Below are 21,131 nucleotides of genomic sequence, written 5' to 3'. Positions count from 1 at the left end.
GCATTTTAGATGAAGTAAAACCTTCTGGGTAACTAGTCCCGGGAAAGCTAACAGTAGGTTGCATTTAATGTTGAAACACTTACTCATAGTCATGCATGTAAAGAGGTTGTCCTGGAAAATTTGGGAGGTGGTAAAGATATTCTAGTGTCTTCCACTTCCCTCTCATCTTCTGCTGTAGATTTTCTGCTTCTTTATCCCCATCTGCCTTGTGCCCCTCACTACCTCCATGGCCTCCTAGACAACTCTTCTGGCGTGGACCTCACCGTGGAGCCCTAGGGCCCCAAATACCTTCTTCCCCTTCCAGTGAAACAACATCAGCCTGTCACATAGCTAACTTCAGCTAGTTCTTATCACTAATTTAAATAAACTCACCCTCAAGGTTTGCATGACTAATGGATTTAAAATGTTGGCCCTTTCAGGGAGGGCTGGGGTTGCAGTTTTTTTCTCCTCAGTTTGGCATCAAATCTCACCATTTATTCAGTCCAGAATTATTTACAGAGTGTCTACTATGTGTCAGGAACTGTTTTATGCACTGGAGATATGATAATAGGCAAGATGGGCCTTCCAGGAATTTCTATTGTATGGATGAGATAGACAGTAAACAAGTCAACAAATGAATAAATATAATTCAGCCAGTTATTTAGGATCTTACATGCTGCTCTCTTTCCAGCAGCCTCTAAAGCTATAGGGCTTGGTCTTGAATTGCTGTGGATAATTCACGTGAGAATATTTGAATGTTGAGAGTCAAGCGTTCAAAGCAGCAGCCAGGCAGAAGGAGAAAAAGAGATGTTTTCAGATACGTCATGAACAGGTTGCCCTCTGATTTGACCTTGTCCCTTCCTCCCACTGGTGCTGTGCCCAGCTCCAAACATACTGGATTCCTACTGCAGCCTATCAAATATTTACACTGACATTACAAATATATATATTATTTACTTTAGCTTCTATAAAATATTTACACGTCATGCTAAATATACACAATATATTATATTGCACTGTGTTTTTCCTGCTGCCAGTCAGAGAGACTGTCTGGAACTTTCCCAAAATCATGAGAAAAGACCAGGGCGAAGGGAGAATGCAGGGTGGGCATATTAGGAGAAAGAAGTTGTGTCTACCTGCATCCAGGGAAAGTGCTCCCCAGGGAAAAGCAGGACGTCGAAGATCTGTCCAAGAGAAAATAATTGTGCACTTTGTCCTCCATACTTTTCCTCTACATTTAGTTCCTGGTTCAAAATAAGCACTGAGACTGAGGTCAGGCAGAGTTCAAACAAACAGAAGCTCTCACTCACCTCTGACATTGGAGATACCAGTTAGATAGGTCCATTGGATCAAATCCCAGGGCAAGGAGCTCAGAACCCCTTGTAGGGGCTCACAGAATGGTCCACAGAATGCTTTAGAAAATCTTGGCAGCCCTGCTCAGGTGCCCAACACATCACTGTGCTTCCCACCCATAGGAGGGGCCACCCATACCCACTGTCCATCTCACACCACAGGTGAGGTTAAACCATGGTGGCTGTGAAGCTGATGCCTCTGAAATAGACTCTTTTTCAATTACATTATAACACTGAATGTGTATTCCTGCACAAAATACCTCTCAACCTGATCTTGCATCTCCTTTTCTGCTTCCTGATGATCTGAGTGCCTGGCAGACAAGACTGTCTTCAAAGTCTTCGCTCATTCCACTTGTCCCTTTAAAAATGTCCCGATGGGTACATAGATGATCATCTTCAAGCTTTGTATCAGCGATATTTCCCTCTGCGTTGTGTCTTGAAGTCAAGGTCTGTTTCTCCTCCAAGCCTATTGTCTTCTTCAGGGTCCAAAAACATGATCTTGGCTTAATAACTTTATGATGGATCCAATGTTTATAACCAAAGGTGGACCTTGCTTAGTCAGGGCATAAATTGTATCATTTCAGAATCAGTAATGTTCCACGCTTCAGAATCTCCTGCCACAGGGGTCTAGATGAGCCCAAGGCAAAGAAGAAAAGGTCTTACCTTGTGGATGTCACTGATTCCATGTTCATCTGCTGCATCAGTGTTATGTTATTTATGCGAGATGCTGATGGAAGCCTCATCTCAGTCCATACAAGTCAAGATCTCTGTGGTTTTAATAACTTGGTAATGGCCACAGCCACCTTTTCCTGTAAAGATAATACCAATAATCTTGGCACACATAAAAAGAAACCAGTCAGCTTCCAAGCTCTCTGGATTTATTGTATGTCCTTATAAAAGGGGTTTCCCACAACATTCAGCCCTTTTTTGTCCTTTCAGCCTTCTACCATATAGGGCACAGTGTTCCTCCTTGCCTCTCAGGAGGATGCCACGTTGAAGGCGCCACCGTGGAAGCAGTGTCTGGGCTCTCACCAGACACCAAACCTGCTAATCCCCCAGCTTAGACTTCCCTAGTCTCCATAACCCTGATTTCCCGGTTTGCATAGTTGTCAGCAATAAGTTTATGCTTTTTATAAATTACCCAGTCTAAGATGTTTTGTTATGGCAGCATGAATAGACTAAAACAATATGCCTATCTTTTCCGTTACCAGTCTGTAAATTCCTCTATAGAATATAAAGCCTCTGTATTAGTGGTCTTATTTTTCTGGAAAGACTCTCCTAGAAATCAAAGAATCTACCTGTTGTTGTAACAATAACCCAATGTCTTAGACTATTCAGGCTACTATAACAAAATACCATAAAATGGGAAACTTTAAATAACAAAAATTTGTTTCTCACAGTTCTGGAGGCTGGAAAGTCCAAGAGCACGCGATCAGCAGATTCAATGTCTGGTGAAGACCTGCCTTCTGGTTTATAGAAACCAGAAGCCGGTGCCTTCTGGCTGTGTCCTCACATGGGGGAAGGAGCAAGCTAGTTCTGTGGGGTCTCTTATAAAGGCACTAATCCCATTCATCAGGGTTCCACCTTTATAATCGAGGCTTCGCCTTAGGGGTTAGGAATTTAACTCATGAATTTTCACACCATCACACTGCACCTTTGCATTTTCTCCACATTTAAAATGAACGTATAGAAACTTGGGAAGTTAGAAACTCATTATTTCTCCCAGATGTCAGGCCATCCTTATGCATTCATGGTAGCACTGCTAAGTTGTGGTTGTCTAACCCAGGCCAGCTGGAGTGGGAGCCCGGACAGGCCTGCGGTGCCCTCCTCTCATCTCTCCTCACCATCACCCTTAAACAGCTCTCCTTGTCCAGAACTCCACCCACACAGTAACCCAATCCCCTTAGTCCCTGTGACCTAGCCAGGTACTGACTCACCCTGCTAGGTGTTTAGGTGTTACTGCATTTCTCTGGGGACGGAGATTTTTATGGAAAACTCTGAAAGACTACAACAAGGCTCAAAAGAATAAATGGTTGAAAGTCAGAGGTGGTGACAATTCATTAGAGGACACAATTGGGGATAGATGGCCCTGCCACACTCTCCATATAGCCAGCCTCCTCTGGAGAGGGGGTGCCCAGTTGGACGAATGCCTCTGTCAGTGTGTCAATTGGAAAACAGAACTCGATTTCCCCATGGCCCCTGGGCTCCTGCCAAGGCCTTCAGATTTGCTGAAGAATGGCACCATTAACTAGTTACAGAGGCTGTCTGCTTCAGCGTGGGGGAAGGAAGGGATGGTGTCTGAGGCTTTTAGATTGGGGCCAGGATTGGAGAGAAGGAAGAATAAAAGAAGCAGATGCTGTCAAAATAGTTTATTGGCTTGATTCATTGGGTTCAGCAGCTGCCACAAAGAAAACAGATTCCTAGAGAACTACCAGCCAGACAGCGTGCTCTTTCAAGGGAGCTTGATGGAAAGAGAAGATAAGGCTTTGCTTTTAAGGTATTATGCTTACCTTAACTGGGATTCCTTTTAAAAATGGCTCTGAGTGTGTGTGTGTGGGGCGGCGAGGGGGGTGTGTGGCGGGAAGGAGTCAGGGATGCAACAATACCAGGACACTGGTATACAATGCTATCGCTTTTATGCACTCCTCCTTCCCCAAACTCACACCACCAAGAATTCGGCTAAGGATTGTGATTAAACAGAGCTTTTCTATGTCAGCCTCATTCATACTCAGCAACTTAATTCCAGAGATAAGGGTCCGAAACACACAGCACAAAGCTTCTGGAAACCACCCAGACATCACCCTTCCCCAGGAGTCCCACCCCAGCCCAAGGTTATGGGGCTGCAGTGTTCCCATTGCTGGGTGAAACAGGGTTTAAATGTCCACTAAGTGAACTGCTGCTAGAACAATTTGTCTTTTTTTTTTTTTAGATGGAGTCTCACTCTGTCGCCCAGGCTGGATTGCAGTGGCATGATCTCGGCTCACTGCAAGCTCTGCCTCCCGGATTCACGCCATTCTCCTGTCTCAGCCTCCCGAGTAGCTGGGGCTACAGGCACCCGCTACCACGCCTGGCTAATTTTTTCTATTTTTAGTAGAGACGGGGTTTCACCGTGTTAGCCAGGATGGTCTCGATCTCCTGACCTCGTGACCCGCCCGCCTCGGCCTCCTAAAGTGCTGGGATTACAGGCGTGAGCCACCACACCTGGCCTTGTCTTTTTCACTCTCTAAGTTCTTTTTATTTTCTTAATTAAGCTAAATAAAGAAGAGTGCATAAAATATAATGGATTATATAAAGAATGATAATAAAGCAACTCCAGGGTAATCACAACTTGGGTCAAGGAAGAAAACGTGGTCAGCTCCTGGGAAGGCCTCCTGTGGCTGCTCCATCCTGACCTCACAGCTTACATATCCAAGGGGAACCTGGCCATTCTGACCTCACAGCTCCTCCCACCCAAGGGACACCTGCCCCCTCCTGACCTCACAGCCCCTCTCCTACCCAGGGGAAACTGCCCTTCCTGACCTCACAGCTCCACACACCCAGGGGACACCTGCCCCCTCCTGACCTCACAGCTCCGATACCCTGCCCCTCCTGACCTCAGAGCTCCCTACCCTTTGACTTTGGATGGTGGCATTACCTAAATAGTGTCTCCAAAGTGCAGTGCATATCCTAGTGGGTAGCATTTGACATGGTTTTTGTTGGAACTGGGGCGAATATTTAAATTTGAATTATGTATTTATATGACTGTATATGAGGAGGAAATAATCCTCAAAACAGAGATTTTGTACATAATAGGCTAAAGAAGGTGGTTTTTTAAAAATTCAGAACGATTTAAAGAAAAGCATAAAGGCAATAAGGTCATGGCATGTATAAATATGGCAAAATTGTGAAGGTGGCACACAATGACCACTATGTGGAAATCCAATTTTTAAGGAATTCGAGCAAGACCCTGTCGGGGTCAGCAGCAACTTGAGAGTCATGCAAACCACTGTTCCCCCAACTTCCCTGATAAGACTTGCCTGTTATCTGCACTGATTCCTGGCTCCTCCCCTGGCCCACTAATCCCAAATCCTCAAGAGGGGGCCCAGGTATCCGAATGATTTGCAGGAATCTCAGGTGACTTGTGACCTGTACAGATGAGAAAGTTTACATGGGGTCCAATTCCTACAGTTTTAGATAAACCCTGACACTCGTTCATATCTAGACAGGAGCAAGTCCCAGAACCTGGATTCTGACTCAGGGGCAGAACCAGGGTCTTTTCCTCTGTGCTGGCTGAGCAGAGAGCTCTAGCTTCCAATGATCACTCTCCAAAAGGTTAGGACAGGAAAAGGCAGAGACCAGGGATGGAATCTGAAAGCCATAGTCACCTGAGGCTGAGAAAAGCAGAGTCCAAAAGAGGGGTGGACCAATGACCTTAGACATGTGAGACAGCAAGGAACCCAGGAGTGAGAATGGGCACACCTGGCTCTCCTTGATCGTGGCAGTGGGGGAACTTCATGGCAGTTTTGGAGGGCTCGGCTTCTGGCCTCCTTTCTCACTGTCTAGCTTAGTTGGAGTCCCTTCTAAGCCAGCACTGTGGTTCACACCTGCAGTCTCAGTGCTTTGGGAGGCTGAGGTGGAAGGATCAAGAAGAGGAGTTTGAGATCAGCCTGGGCAGCAAAGCGAGACCCCATCTCTAAAATATGTTAAGAAATTAGCTGCGTGTGGAGGTGTGCACCTGTAGTCCCAGCTGCTTGGGAAGCTGAGGCAGGAGGACCGCTTGAGCCCAGGAGTTTGAGGCGCAGTGAGCTATAATCACACCACTGCACTCCAGCCTGGGTGACAGAATGAGACCCTGTCTCTAAATAAATAAATAAATAAATAAAGCAGGGGAGTAAAGTCTCAGGGGGATTAGCTTCTGCTTTCACAACAGAACCAGGTAATGATGCAATTAATCTATTGACAAATTTTTATTAAATTTCTACTATGCTCAGTGAGGGGTGGTAGGGATGGGGGAGTGACAAGAAGAGAATGCCGTCCTTTTCTCAAAGGGCCCACTGCCTACCTGGGCACACAATGATGACCAGGACATGCCCCAGCCAGCTTCTGCCTGCATGCCTTCTTCCTCTGCAGGTGATTTAAAAGCAAGATAATTGCAGGCCCGAGTGCCGGATGTACACGAAAGAATTCAAGGGAGACTGAGAAAGATTTTAATAAGGTATGTGTTGGCGGAGGGGGTGGCTATGCCACCTTTATGGGAAATTGAGGGTGGCCCAACAACTGCAAGGCATCCTCAAGGATCCTGGCCATCTTCAAAGAAGGGCAGGAAGGGTATTCTGAAATCTCAGGCAGGAATTGGAATCCTGTAGCCAAGCACAAATGCTCCTGCCATCATCCAAGTTTGCAACCACGGTAATGAAAAGAATCATCTCTCATTATGTGAACGCTTCCCTTCTCTTACCTCATAAACTCAGCAGGTCCATGGGAAACTGGATTTGCAAGTTCAGTTATTTCCAAGTGATCCATGTATGACTCTGACTTTTTGGAAAGGCTGTGGTGTGTTTTTAATCCTGGGCTGGGCCTCCTGGTTTCTGTCCTTGTTTTCCTCCCTACCTGCACACACACACACACACACACACACACAGAGTTGAGTTAAAGTAAATATTGAGATGTCCTGCACTTTTCAAAAGAAGATATACAAGCAACTAGCAAACATATGACAAAATGCTCCACATCACTGGCCATCAAAGAAATAAAAATCAAAACCACAATGAGATACCATCTCACACCAGTCAGAATAGCTACTACTAAAAAGTGAAAAAAAACAACAGATGCTGTAGAGGCTGCAAACAAAAGGGAATGCTTATACACTGTTGGTGGGAGTACAAATGAATTCAGCCCCTGTGGAAAGCAGTTTGGAGATTTCTCAAAGAACAGCAATCCTATTATCCCATTATTTGGTATATATCCAAAAGAAAGCAAATCTTTCTACCAAAAAGACACATTCATTCACATGTTCATTGCAGTGCTATTCACAATAGCAAAGACATGGAATCAATCTAAGTGCCCATCAATGGGGGATTGAATAAAGAAAATATAATATGTGTACACCATGGAATATTATGCAGCCATGAAAAAGGATGAACTCATGTCCTTTGCAGCAACAGGGATGCAGCTGGAGGCCGTTATCCTAAGCCAACTGATGCAGAAACAAAACCACTGAATACTGCATGTCCTCACTTAGAAGTGGGAGATCAAGATTGAATACACATGGACACAAAGATGGCAACAATAGAAACTGGGGACTAATAGAGGGGGAGGAGGAGAAGAGGGCAAGGGTTGAAAAACTATTAGGTACTATGCTCAGTACCTGGGTGACAAGATCATTCATACCTCAGACCTTAGTATCACACAATATACCCAGGTAACAAACTTGCACATGTATCCCTTGCATCTAAAATAAAAGTTTAAAAAAGAGAGATGTGCCAGCGTGGTGGCTTACGCCTGTAATCCCAGCACGCCTGTAATCCCAGCACTTTGGGAGGCTGAGGCGGCAGATCACCTGAGGTCGGGAGTTCGAGATCAGCCCAACCAACATGGAGAAACCCCGTCTAACCAACGTGGAGAAACCAGCCTAACCAACGTGGAGAAACCCTGTCTCTACTAAAAATACAAAATTAGCCAGGTATAGTGGTGCATGCCTGTAATCCCAGCTACTTGGTAGGCTGAGGCAGGAGAATGGCTTGAACTGGGGAGGCGGAAGTTGCTGTGAACCGAGATCGTGCCATTGCACCCCAGCCTGGGCAACAAGGGCAAAACTCTGTCTCAAAAAAAAAAAAAAAGAGATGTCCTGGTAGGTGGAAGAAGTGATAAAACGGTAGCTTAATGTGGGGACGTGGGGATGGGTGAAAAAGATCGCATGAATGTGTGCGTGCGTGCGTGTGTGTGTGTGTGTGTGTGTGTGTGTGTGTGTGTGAATCTGTCTTCTTTAAAGGATGTCAGCCATTTTCAGGTTTCTCCATTGAGAGAGCCATCATTTTGAAGCAGATCTTCTTTGTCTGGAAAAGAAAAACCTTAGTGTCATGGCTGTAAGGTGAGTAGGTCTCCGTTCCCCTGGTGGGTGGTTGAAACTGGAACTATTTTATGGCTTAGGAAAGTCTGCCCCTTCCTGGAAGCTGAAAAGAGGATGGTGATTTAGAAAGGAACAGTTTCGATAGTGTAATTAGACAAAAATAAAGTCTTTTAGGAAATTGAAACAGAAATTTAAAAGATAAAGGAGAAAGGATTGAGGAAGATTTTGTGTTACCTGTTTGTTTCATTTGGGTGAGCTAGGACTATGTTATATGTTCAGAGGCCATGGAGAGCACAGCTGAAGGAGGAGATCTTCATCAGAGTGATGCCTTGAAAAGTGGAAGGCGAGATACAGAGCATAGACTGGTGCTTCACATATGATCTGGGAGAGGGATAAAGGACATTTGGTGAGAAAGCAACTACCACCACCCTCACAATGAGTAATGGCACATATTTATTTCACACTTATTATTTGATGGTCCTTGAGCTAAGTTCTTTGCATTTATTACTATTTCACTTAATCCTCAATAATTCTATGAAATAGACAATAATTTTGTTCCCATCTTCAGCTGCGGAAACTGGAACTCAAAGAGGTTAAGTAATTTGTTTCAAGCCACACAGCTGTAAATAACATCATCTGGATTCAAGTTGATGGCGCCAGACTCCACAGCCCCCAGTAGGTGATGGATCATGACTAGTATGAATTTAAAAAAAACGAATTTCTGCAGCAACAAAGGTGTCAGAGGTTGAACATCTTGACAGGATTGAAGAAGGAAGACCATGAAGGTCAGTAAGAGAGTAGACAAGAAGGATGGGGATGGGGATCAGATGGGTCATGGAAGATTATAGTTAAAGGTTCCAGTGGCAGAACAGTTCCAGGTGATGAGTATCCCATGTGGCTGTGGATAATGTTGGCCAAATGGGAAGGAAAGTGGTAGTTGTTGGAGCTGGAATAGGAGCAATCAAGGGTCTATGAGCCTAAGGTGTAGGATAGTGCATGGGACATTTCTCTTTCTGCATTATCTTTCTCCTTTGAGGTTGAGACAGAGTAGGGACTGTCCTAGAGGCCTGCAGGAATCCCCCACCTAGAAGGGAAATAAGGGAAAATCTTGAGTTCTTTCAAGGGAAATTCCAGGCACCTAGCTAGCCCTAAGAAGTAAATGAGCAACTTTGTAAGCAAGAAGGTAATAGTAGTTTAAAACAATAGCCAACAAAGTTAGAGTCACGGGTGTTTGGTTCCCTATTGAAACTAAAGATAACATCTTAACATATGCTTCTGAGTTGTTTTTCAGAAACCTGGAACCCCATCAGATGAATCCACTGGCACACAGACCTCAGATAAGGGGAGACTGAGGACTGAACGCTGACCACTGTCCTTTGTTCTAAATTTCTTCCTGAGGGTTCTAGAGGAAGTCACACCCATGAGCCAGAGCTAACATTCTTTATCTGCTGACTCCAATTTTTAAAACAAAGCCTCTTTTCCTTAAGCAGTTGCAAACCAGGAAACCTTTGAATCTACATATGTAGATTCAAGCCCCCACTGTAAGCCCCCACTTCAGGATAGTCCACCTTCTTAAGCCAAACCAACGTGTAACTTCCATGTCTTGATTAACAGTTTTGTCTGTAACCTCCGCTTTCCTGAAATTTACCCCTGCCTTTAAAATCCTTAGTTACAAGCCATCGAGGAGGTTGGGCCTTAAAGGTAAGCTAGCTGCCTGATTCTCCCTGCTTGGTGCCCTGCAAATAAATGCCCTCCTTTCTCCAGCTGCAAACCTCAGTGTGGATGTGTGGCCTCACTGCGCTGGGCTAGTGGACTCCAGTTCAGTTTCCTAACAAGGTGTTCAACTCTGCTAAGTTGATGAATTCAGAAGTTTCTGAAATTACTGAGGCACTTGGGGTACAGGAGGAGACAATGTATGAGATGTGCTGAAGAGTGATGAATAGGAGAAAACGACCAGGAAAACCACAGATTACAGCCGTGAGGGATCAAGAATGGTGGTGCGGCCAGGCACAGTGGCTCACGCCTGTAATCCCAGCACTTTGGGAGGCGGAAGCGAGCGGATCATGAGATCAGGAGTTCAAGACCATCCTGGCCAACAAGGTAAAACCCTGTCTCTACCAAAAATACAAAAATTAGCCAGGCATTGTGGCACACACTTGTGATCTCAGCTACTAGGGAGGCTGAGGCAGGAGAATCGCTTGAACCTGGGAGGTGGAGGTTGCAGTGAGCCGAGATTGTGCCACTGCACTCCAACATGGGTGACAGAGCAAGACTCCGTCTCAAAAAAAAAAAAAAAAAAAAAGAATGGTGGTGTGGGTGGATGCCCAAGAGTTTGAAAAGAATGGTGATTTCTATGTGATGGTGAAGGAATCATGGTTTGGAAGCTGATGGGGAGGGCAAAAAGAGACCTACTGGCCTCTGGGCTCTCAGGAGGATGAGTGCCTTCCCCGCGAGGTGTTTGCCAGGCAAGTGAGCCCTTAGAAGAGAGCCTTCCTTGTTCTATAAAATACAAAACTAGGGATAGAACACTCTTAAATGTTTGTTTCATAAAAGAAAAAAAGTCAATGATCCGCCCATCTGCTCTATCTGGAGCCACCGTGCTGGATGATAATAATAATGCAACGATCAATAAGAAATGCATGCTTCCTGCTCTCATGGGTGTCCAATTTAGCAAATGCATTCATTAAGCCAAAAAAATGACCAATGCAGCTATTTATTGTTGTGACAAGTGGTATGAGATAAACTTTAGTGTCAACTGTGGCTATGTATACAAAATATGAAGACTTAATCTGGCCTGACGGGTCATAGAAAGCTTCCTCATGGCATATGATTGTAGCAGAATGCCCTGATCTGCGGAAAGAAGATGATACAGTTTGAGTATTTGTCCCCTCCAAGTCCCAGGTTGAAATGTGACTCTCAATGCTGGAGGTGAAGCCTGGTGGGTGGTGTTAGGGTCATGGGGATAGATCCCTCATGAATGGCTTGGCACTGTCCTTGTGGTGATGAATGAGTTCTCACTCTATTAGTTACCATGAGATCTGTTTGTTAAAAAGACTCTGGCATCGGCCAGGTGCAGTGGCTCACGCCTGTAATCCCAGCACTTTGGGAGGCTGAGGTGAGCAGATCACCTGAGGTCAGGAGTTCGAGACCAGCCTGATCAACATGGAGAAACCCCATCTCTACTAAAAATACAAAATTAACCAGGTGTGGTGGCAGGCACCTGTATTCCCAGCTACTCGGGAGGCTGAGGCAGGAGAATCGCTTGAACCCGGGAAGCAGAGCCCGCAGTGAGCTGAGATAATGCCACTGCACTCCAGCCTGGGCGACACTGCTAGACTCCATCTCAAAAAATAAAAAATAAAAATAAAAAGAACCTGGCATCTACCCCTCTCTCTCTTGCTTCCTCTCTCGCCATGTGACATGACTTATCCCCCTTCACCTTCCACCTGAGTGGTAGCTACCTGTGGCCTCACCAGCAGCAGATGTTAGTGCCATGCTTCTTGTACAATCTCCAGAAATGTGAGCCAAATAAACCTCATTTCTTTATAAATTACCCAGACTCAGGTATTCCTTTATAGCAACACAAAATGGAAAATGCAGAAGAACATTCCAGAGAGGACACATATCTAGGAGGCAACTAGGAATACAATAGTTTGTCTATTATGGAGCTTAGAGTTACAAAGATGGAGAGAGATGTAGGGGGATAGGCATGGAGGGAGGCTGGGGCATGGGAGAGAAATAATAGAATAGTATGAATAGAAAAGTACAGGAGAAATGAGATAGCCAAAGGAGCTTATGTTCTTCTTGAACAAACATGGAAAAAATGTGGAGCTCAGAGAACATAGCTTGTCTAAGGATTCTAGGTAGGACCCTGGGGTCACCTGGCTTCAGGTGGTTCTGGAGGCCTAGTCTTTAAATGCAGAGCCCAGCAGAGGCTGAAACCAGGAATGGGATCCATGTCCTGGTCTGACTTTATCTTACCTTTCTTGGATCTATGCATTCCTGCTTCTGAAGACTTCCTCCTGACTCTTGTTGCTGATGTGGGATCATCACCTTTGGTCTGTCTGCAGAAACCCTGGACAATTCATCTATTTATTGAGAGAAGAAGTCAATATGCTTACTACAATTTAATGTAACAATTGTTTTGTTTACATGGTAGGTAGCCTCTAAGATGGTTTCAAGGGATCCATGCATCCTGGTACTGATACCCTTGATAATCCCCTCTCCTTGAGTAACTTGCTTCTAACCGATAGAATACAGCAATGTTGACAGGTTCTCACTTTAGTGATGAGGTTCCAAAAGATTAGGACTTCCCTCTTCCTAGCAGATTCTCTCTTGCCTTATTGGAGAGGCCCACATGGCAAAGAACTGAAGATGACTTCTAGCCAGAAGAAGGAACTGAATCCTGCCAACAGCCATAAAGGTGAACTTGGAAGCGGATCCTTCTCCACTTGAGACTTCAAATGAGACTGCAGTCCTGGGCGATATCTTGATTGCAGCCTTGTGAGAGACATGGAAGCAGAGGACCTTGCTAAGCCATGCCTGGATTCCTGACCCACAGAAACTAAGATAATAGGTGCTTTTAGCCACTAAGTTTGAGAATATTCTTCCCTTTTTTTTTTTTATGATGGAGTCTCACTGCAACCTCTGCCTCCTGGGTTCAAGTGATTCTCCTGCCTCAGCCTCCCTAGCAGCCGGGACTACAGGCACGCGCCACCATGCCCAGCTAATTTTTTTGTATTATTAGTAGAGACAGGGTTTCACCATGTTGGCCAGGCTGGTCTTGAACTCCTGACCTCAAATGATCTGCCCAGCTTGGCCTCCCAAAGTGTTGGGATTACAGGCGTGAGCCGCTGCACCCAGTCTGGAATATTATTCTTATACAGCAAGAGATAACTAGCAACAATTAAGTACTTAAAATACATTCATTATCTATAGGGCATTATTTGGAAATTAATGCATGTAAGCTTATAGTCCTGGATTAACAATATAAATAATTTGTACCCTGGAGGTTTTGATCCTGTGATGTGCTGTAACAGAAAACATTATATTTGGCTACCAGCATTCACTCACTTTCCTAACAATGCTCTGATTTTCTTAGGGATGAATCTATCCTCCATGGGGTGGAATAATGATAGCAAACTGCTTTTTCCATTATCCAAATCTGATTCCAGCTCCTTCCTCTCACCACCACTGTCCATACCAGCAACAAGAGTCTCTAGGACTTTAGACTTTGAGAATGAGGGCAGGAAAAGAAAATTTTGGAAGGCCATCTATTGTAGTGGTGACCTGCCCAGACATGTTAGACCATGAGATTATTGCTCTGGTGTCTGCTTCTTGTCCCTCTGGGGCTCTTTTGGTTTCTCTGTGCTCCCAATCTTAGGCCTTTAGTCCCTCATGGATTGTGGGAGCAAAATCTTCCTCATAAATTTCTTTTCACTGAAGTGAGCCAGCTTTGCCTTCTGTTGAGTCCCAAGAGATACATGCATACAATCTTTGGAATCTGGTAGGTGAACTTGTCTCTCACAAATGGCATACTAGTAGTCTTTTACTTGGTGGCAAGGTTACAGAAAAACTTTCTGGAGAATTCATCAAACAGCATCTTAGTGGGTTCTAATAGGATTCCATTGAAAGACATTCTTCTAGCAGAAAATTTTTGAGACAACCTCTCAGAAAAATTACTGCTGCCACAGTCAACTGGAAATTGAAAAACAGTCAACCAAAAGGCTATTTGGGTAATGAAATTTCACACAACCACTCTGGGTAATCCTTACACTGAATTGATTGGTAGTTTGAGCCATTGTAGGCCCAACTCACCCCACATTTGCAAGTGTTGCAGGAGACATTCTTTAACACCAGGGACAAGCAGATCCCAACATGGAAAAATGTCATTTGGAGTGGAACTGGGACAGGCCAGGTAGCAGCCTCCTTCTGGGACTGTATCACAGGTATAATGGTACTTTTTCAGGTTTCCATGGAATCTATGCCCCCTCATTCTGAAATCTGAGTGAAAAGATGTTTGTTTCTCCTACCCAAAATCAAACCTTTTAATTGCTTTTCTGCTACTCAGCCTCCTCTTTTTACAAGTACACAATATATTCACTGTTTTCAAGTGAGGATTGACAGTCTGGATTGCTAGAGGGGAGTGAGAAAAATGATCTATGAAAGTTCAGATCTGAATTATTGATTACCTTTAAAGATTATTTTCAAAATAATTTCATCAGTCCATTTAGATTGGCATAATAAAGTTACTGCCAATGAAAATGGCACTGGAAAATATGTTTGCTGCGGAGCACCTCAGCCAAGATCTCATACCCATACCCCAAACAAACTCAGAAGGCAGAGAAACCCATTCCTAGATGGACATATTACATAAACAGACACAGTCAATTTGCATCAAATTTTCCTTGTGGAGTTTAAATATCCATAGACCAAGTTTATGAGCACTGAATAGGGTTTTTGAAGCCATAGAAAAATGATTCTAGAATTGCATAGAATAATTTGGAGCCAATTTCTTGTCTAGAATGTGATTTGGAAAAGGAAAGGAGCTACAGGGATCATACTCTGGTTCCCAGAAAGAGTCTGAACACAGGAGTCTTATACTTGTGAAACTGAAACCTGGGAGAATCCAGAAGAACAATAAATGAAGTCTGAATCTCCTTTAAATAATCCATTTGAAAGGAGTTTAGTTACTTCCTAATTTTTTAAAGAAAAAAGCAGGGGGAAAGTCCATTGGCTGACTTGATTTTTGTTAGGTTTCCCCAGTATACCAGCAGCTGCAATAACAAATTTCCGTCTTTAGATTTTACAAAGATCTCATTCATTTGATCCTCACAAAAATTATGTAAGATAGTTAGATATTTTACGTACGTTGAGATGGACACTAAACAAGATAAACATGGTGCTATAAATACATAAAACAGATACTACCTTAGATGGAGCTGAGTATTAAGTGGAAAAATAAAGCATGCATACAGCTACCTTCTGTGTCCTCACATGATGGGGAGAGAGAGATAGAGCTAGAGACAGGATAGAGTTAGGGATGGAGAGATAGAGAGAGAGATGGAGGTGGAGACCGAGAGAGAGTGAGAACAGGCTGTGGTCTATCTACCTCCTCCTTTAAGAAAAGTAATGCCACTATGGGGGGCCCCATTCTCATGACCTCATTTAAAACTGATTACCTCCAGCCAGGCACGGTGGCTCACGACTGTAATCCCAGCACTTTGGGAGGCCGAGGTGGGTGGATCACAAGGTCAGGAGATCGAGACCATCCTGGCTAACACGGTGAAACCCCGTCTCTACTAAAAATACAAAAAATTAGCCAGGTGTGGTGGCGAGTGCCTGTAGTCCCAGTTACTCGGGAGGCTGAGGCAGGAGAATAGTGTGAACCTGGGAGGCAGAGCTTGCAGTGAGCTGAGATCGTGCCACTGCACTCCAGCCTGGGAAACAGTGAGACTCCGTCTCAAAAAAAAAAAAAAAAAAAAAAAAGCGCTAATTCCCTCCCAAAGGTCCGGCCTCTAAATTCCATCACATTGCAGATAGGAGCTCCAACATATAAATTGTGGGGGGACACTTTCAGTCCATAACACAGTTTAGAAGAAAGGGAGAGGAAATGGAATTGGGAAATGTAGTTTGATTACCTGGCTATTCTGAAGGCCTATGTAAGGTTAGTGATCACAATTTTCAAGTAAGAGATGTCAATATGCTGGTATTTTTCACCATCAATGTTTAGCTCAACAGGGGCGGGCACAGGTGGGAGAAGAGCTACATTCAACCATGTTTGTGGCTTAGCCAAGACAGTGGGACAAAGTGAGAGCTGGGAAAGAAATTTGGTGGTCCCCAAAAGGGAGTGATCATGGCAACTGATATGGAGTTCACACTGGGGATGGAAGGATGTGAAGATAAGAGGGTGAGAAGAGATATGAAAAGGTGATGGATCAGTGGAGTGTAGTTTCTATTGGAGCTGAAAATGGTTGGAGATAGGAAACTAGATGAAGTGGTCTGGAAGATGGGAGATGGCAGTTGGAAAGTGGGATGCCTGCAACTGAAATAATGGAGGGGTTTTAGTGAGTGGTTATGACATGGTCTGGGGACAAGAGCAGGGGAGAAGAGGTGGAACAGAAGAGGTGGAATGGAGAATAAGATGATTGCAAGAGATGAGCACAGAGGAATGAGAAGCCTCAGTGTGGAGAGACTCATCCATGGTGAATGTTCAGAAACATTATCTAAAACTTGGATTTTAGGTGAATGGAGGTGACAAACCTCTTCAATATCATACTGGAGCATGTTTTACAGGCCCACCTGTGAATCATTTCATTTTCTAAGAGAATGTACCTGGTACCGTTGTTTGACTTTATTATTTATCATCGATTAGGGTCCAGACACTGTAAGGTTACACATTAACTTGTAGAGTCTGTGCAGTAAAAGAGATAGCCCCAAAGATCATAGTTTTATGGCCTTGTAGGACATTAACTGGTTTTGTATCTAACCTAGCAATTCTATTCTAATTTTTTTCAAAATGTATAAAAATCACCAGTTTCTCAAAGTACTCTTAGAATCAGCTTTACCATCTTAGTGATTTCTTTGTCCATGAATTAATAATCTTTGATGTGTGTTCATTCAATATTTTTATGAGTCATGTTTTTAACTTTTCTTTTTCTTTTTTTTTGTGTGTGTGTGTGTGAGATGGAGTCTTGCTCTGTCTCCCAGGCTGGAGTGCAGTGGCACGATCTCGGCTCACTGCAACCTCCACCTTCTGGGTTCAAGCGATTCTCTTGTCTCAGCCTCCTGAATAGCTGGGACTATAGGCACCTGCCACCATGCCCGGCTAATTTTTGTATTTTTATTAGAGACGGGGTTTCACCATATTGATCAGGCTGGTCTCAAACCCCTGAGCTCAGGTGATCCACCTGCCTCCCAAAGTGCTGGGATTATAGACATGAGCCACTGTGCCTGGCCATGTTTTTAACTTTTCAAAAAATTATGGTTGGAGGAGTATTAAAATTGTCAACAATTAATGAGAGTAGTGATGGAGAAAGTAATGGTGAGTCAGGATCTAAAATTTTTAAAAAAAAATGAAAGGAGGCCGGGTGTGGTGGTTCACACCTGTAATCCCAGCACTTTGGGAGGCTGAGGCAGGCAAATTGCCTGAGGTCAGGGGTTCAAGACCAGCCTGGCCAACATGGTGAAACCTCATCTCTACTAAAAATACAAAAATTAGCCGGGCGTGGTGGCAGGTGCCTGTAATCCCAGCTACCTGGGAGGCTGAGGCAGGAGAATCGTTGAACCCAGGAAGCGGAGCTTGCAGTGACCCGAGATTGTGCCACTGCACTCCAGCCTGGGCGACAGAGCTAGAGTCAGTCTCAAAAAAAAAAAAAAAAAAGAAGGTAATAGTAAACTATGGGTTCATAGATAAATGCAGAATATATAGTAAGGTATGATACGATGGTAGTATGGTAGAATTCGGAGGTGGAGGATTTTGTGGAGGAGAGAATGAGAATAGATTAACAGTGGCAATGAGAGGCAAGGAGGATCTCTACGCTATCCCAAAGCCTAGTCGTATGCAGAGTGGACATCTACTTGAAAGGACTGCAGAAGAAGCTATGTACTCAGGGAAGTCAGGTTTCAGTAACAGTAGAAGGTGAAGGGACTACTCAGAGAGAGTTTGAGGATATGGTGGATTTTGCTGATTATGTACTGTGAGTTCCAGAGAGAATGTACAAACATACCACATACACTGTAGCGGAGTCCTCTCTTGGGGCAAGAACATATATGCATCCTTCATCTTTTCAGTTTAATTGGCCTCTGTTTTGGGCTGAATCATGTTTCTTCCTCATCCCAAAATTACATGTTAAAGTCCTAACACCCAGTACCTCAGGCTGTGACTGTATTTGGGAATAGAGTCTTTTTGTTCATTTGTAGTGCTGTAACAAAATACCATAAACAGCATAACTTATAAATAATAGAAATTTATTTCTCACAGTACCAGAGGCCAAGAAGTCCAAGATCGAGCCACTGGCAGGTCTAGGGTCTGGCGACAGCCTGTTCCCTGCTTCCAAAATGGCGTTTTGTTGCTGCGCCCACGTGGCAGAAGACAGGAGGGGAAAAGGAAGTAAGGCTGTGTCCTCACGTGGTAGAAAAGATGGAAGTCCCTTTAAAGGGGCCCCAATCCCATCTAGGAGAGCTCTGCCCTCATGACTTAATAACTTCCTAAAGGCTCTACCTCAATGCGATTCAGTTTCAACACATACATTTTGGGGGACACATTCAGACCATAGCAATTTTTAAAGGGGTAATTAAGATGAGACTACTAATGTGAGCCCTACAGTATGATAGGTGTCTTTTTTTTTTGAGAAGGAGTTTCGCTCTTGTCCCCCAGGCTGGAATGCAGTAGTGCGGTCTCCACCCACTGCAACCTCTGCCTCCCAGATTCAAGCAATTCTCCTGCCTCAGCCTCCCAACTAGCTGGGATTACAGGCGCCTGCCACCACACCCAGCTAATTTTTGTATTTTTAGTAGAGACGGGGTTTCACCATGTTTGCCAGGCTGGTCTCGAACTCCTGATCTCAGGTGATCCACCTGCCTTGGCATCCCAAAGTGCTGGGATTACAGGCATGAGCCACTACGCCAGGCTGATATGTGTCCTTGTAAGAAGAGACAATTTGGACATGGGCACAGAAGGAGAAAGGTGTGAACACACAGAGAGAAGAAGGCTGTCTACAAACCAAGGAGAAGTTCAGAAGAAGTGAATCTCAGATTCCAGAATGACAAGACAATAAAATTCTGTTGTTTAAGCCACCCAGTCTGTGATACTTTGGTAGAGCAGCCGTAGCAAACTAACACAGCCATCTCTTTTTGCTTTCCATGGTCAGGATGATCACTGTGGGAATTTGGTGAGGCGGATTTTTTTTTCATGGTGTAACCATTTTATCGAATAAGCTGAACTTAATAGGGGCAAAAAGAAAAAAAAAATGTATGATTTCTCACCTTTCTCCTCCCTTAAAGTCATCCCGAGGATTAGTTCTTAACTGTCTCTAGATGAAACCATAAATAGATCTTATGGCTTTTCCATGCCCTTGTAATCCTGTGATTAAAAGGATTTTAATCTCATTTCAGCAATTAAAATATTCAGACTTGCATAGTTTGGTGCAAAAGTAATTGCGGTTTTTGCCATGATGGCACCAACCTAATACATTCTAATAATCAAAACTCCGAATTTCCTCCAAAGCTAAAATGTTTTCCCTCCTGAAGTCTGCAGTGAAGGAGGTGGGTGTGGTTAGCTTTATTGCAGTTGATCTTCTATTCCTCCTTCTTCTCTCACCAGCTCTTTTCTGACCCTTTCCAGAGCTGGGTCAGTAGTGAGAGGATGAGGCTTTAGGGCGGTCTCATACACAGGCATCCTCTGGCAATGGGGCTCCCCAGGTGTCAGATGATGCTTTTATAATCTGCCCACAGAGCCTCCAGCTGAGAGCTTCCACCTGAGGTTCCTGCGGTGCAAGCCAGCCCCTGGGCCTTCGGACTTCCAGTCCTTTCCCAAGTCCCAGAAGAATTCCTTTCTTCAGCAGATTCCTCTCAAGATGTTTCCCAGTCCTCCCCTTCACATGGATCCCCTGGACCCATGGGGAAATGTAGGGGCTTTTATCATGCTGTTGATGGAAATAAACTCATATATCAATGAAAGCTTCTTTGTCAGTGCTGCTGGGCATTGCAGTTCTTCATGATTGACTAAGGGCGAGAATCAAATGCCAGCCCACTCAATTCCAGGGGACATTTGTCCAACTCCACAAGAGGTCCTCTTGAAGCCCTGCTCTCTCATTTGCTTAGATTTTAGGGGGAATACTCCTTCCTTTCCCCATGGCTGGGGGATCTGCAGTAGCACACCAGCACTTTTCTCTATAAGATCTTCCTCTCTCAGGCCAGGTGCGGTGGCTCACGCCTGTAATCCCAGCACTTTGAGAGGCCAAGGCTGGTGGATCACCCGAGATCAGCCAGTTTGAGACCACCCAGGCCAACATGGTGAAATCACGTCTCTACTAAAAATACAAAAATTAGCCAGGAATGGTGGCAGGTGCCTGTAATCCCAGCTACTTGGGAGGCTGAGGCAGGAAAATTGCTTGAACCCCAGAGGCAGAGGTTGCAGTGAGCTGAGATTGAACCACTGCACTCCAGCCTTGGCAACAGAGCAAGACTCCATCTCAAAAAAAAAAAAAAAAAAAAAAAAAAAAGATCTTCCTCTCTCAACCCTTTAGTTCTCCATCTTTCATAAGCTGGAGTATGGTTTTACCTAATGCAGTTTTACAATCTCCTAAGATATGGGGGACACATGACACCAATTCCATTGTTAAGAGCCTTCGTGACTTCCACAGTAGATCCACATTTAACATTCTCTTACTCGAACTCTATACTACATGCCTGGGTGTAAATGCCCAATCTGAGGGTCCAAATTGGATCTTAGCTTGTCATAGCTGCCTGGCAAGGCCAGTCATTTTTGTAACTGGCACTTCCCCAGGTTTCAAGAGCCTGCAGGTTCAAGAGAGAAACATAAACAATAATGACCCACAGCTCATTGACCCTGCCTCCACCTCTTCAGGTAGGGCCCTCTCCTGCTGAAGAGCCTCCTCAAACATTTGAGGGGCTGGTGTCTCCAAGAGGTCGGTATTTGTGAAAGAAAGCATGCCTGGTCCTGCCGGACCCCACACTGCCCTGCGGCTTCTTGGTAAGCATTTACTCAGTACAGCACTGTCTTAGTCCCT

At 44.4% G+C, this 21,131-nt stretch overlaps 1 long non-coding RNA gene across 2 annotated transcripts; it reads right to left on the bottom strand.

Annotated features, from left to right (window-relative positions):
- Positions 1 to 1,384: 1,384 nt before the first annotated feature.
- Positions 1,385 to 12,448, bottom strand: LOC107984171 (uncharacterized). Of its 2 annotated transcripts, XR_001747285.1 has the most exons (5): positions 12,361 to 12,448; positions 8,614 to 8,760; positions 6,769 to 6,920; positions 1,995 to 2,140; positions 1,385 to 1,807 (listed from the first exon to the last, which is right to left on the bottom strand). It is a non-coding gene; the product is annotated as an uncharacterized LOC107984171 (long non-coding RNA). The 2 variants fall into 2 exon arrangements; XR_001747286.1 differs by lacking the exons at positions 1,385 to 1,807; positions 1,995 to 2,140; positions 6,769 to 6,920 and adding an exon at positions 8,190 to 8,365.
- Between the last annotated feature and the right edge of the window lie 8,683 nt (positions 12,449 to 21,131).

The sequence above is a fragment of the Homo sapiens genome, chromosome 10, assembly GCF_000001405.40.
Source record: "Homo sapiens chromosome 10, GRCh38.p14 Primary Assembly".
NCBI classification, from domain to species: domain Eukaryota; kingdom Metazoa; phylum Chordata; class Mammalia; order Primates; family Hominidae; genus Homo; species Homo sapiens.
Note: the sequence above shows the minus strand (reverse complement) of the source record. Positions and strands in the feature narration are given on the sequence as shown.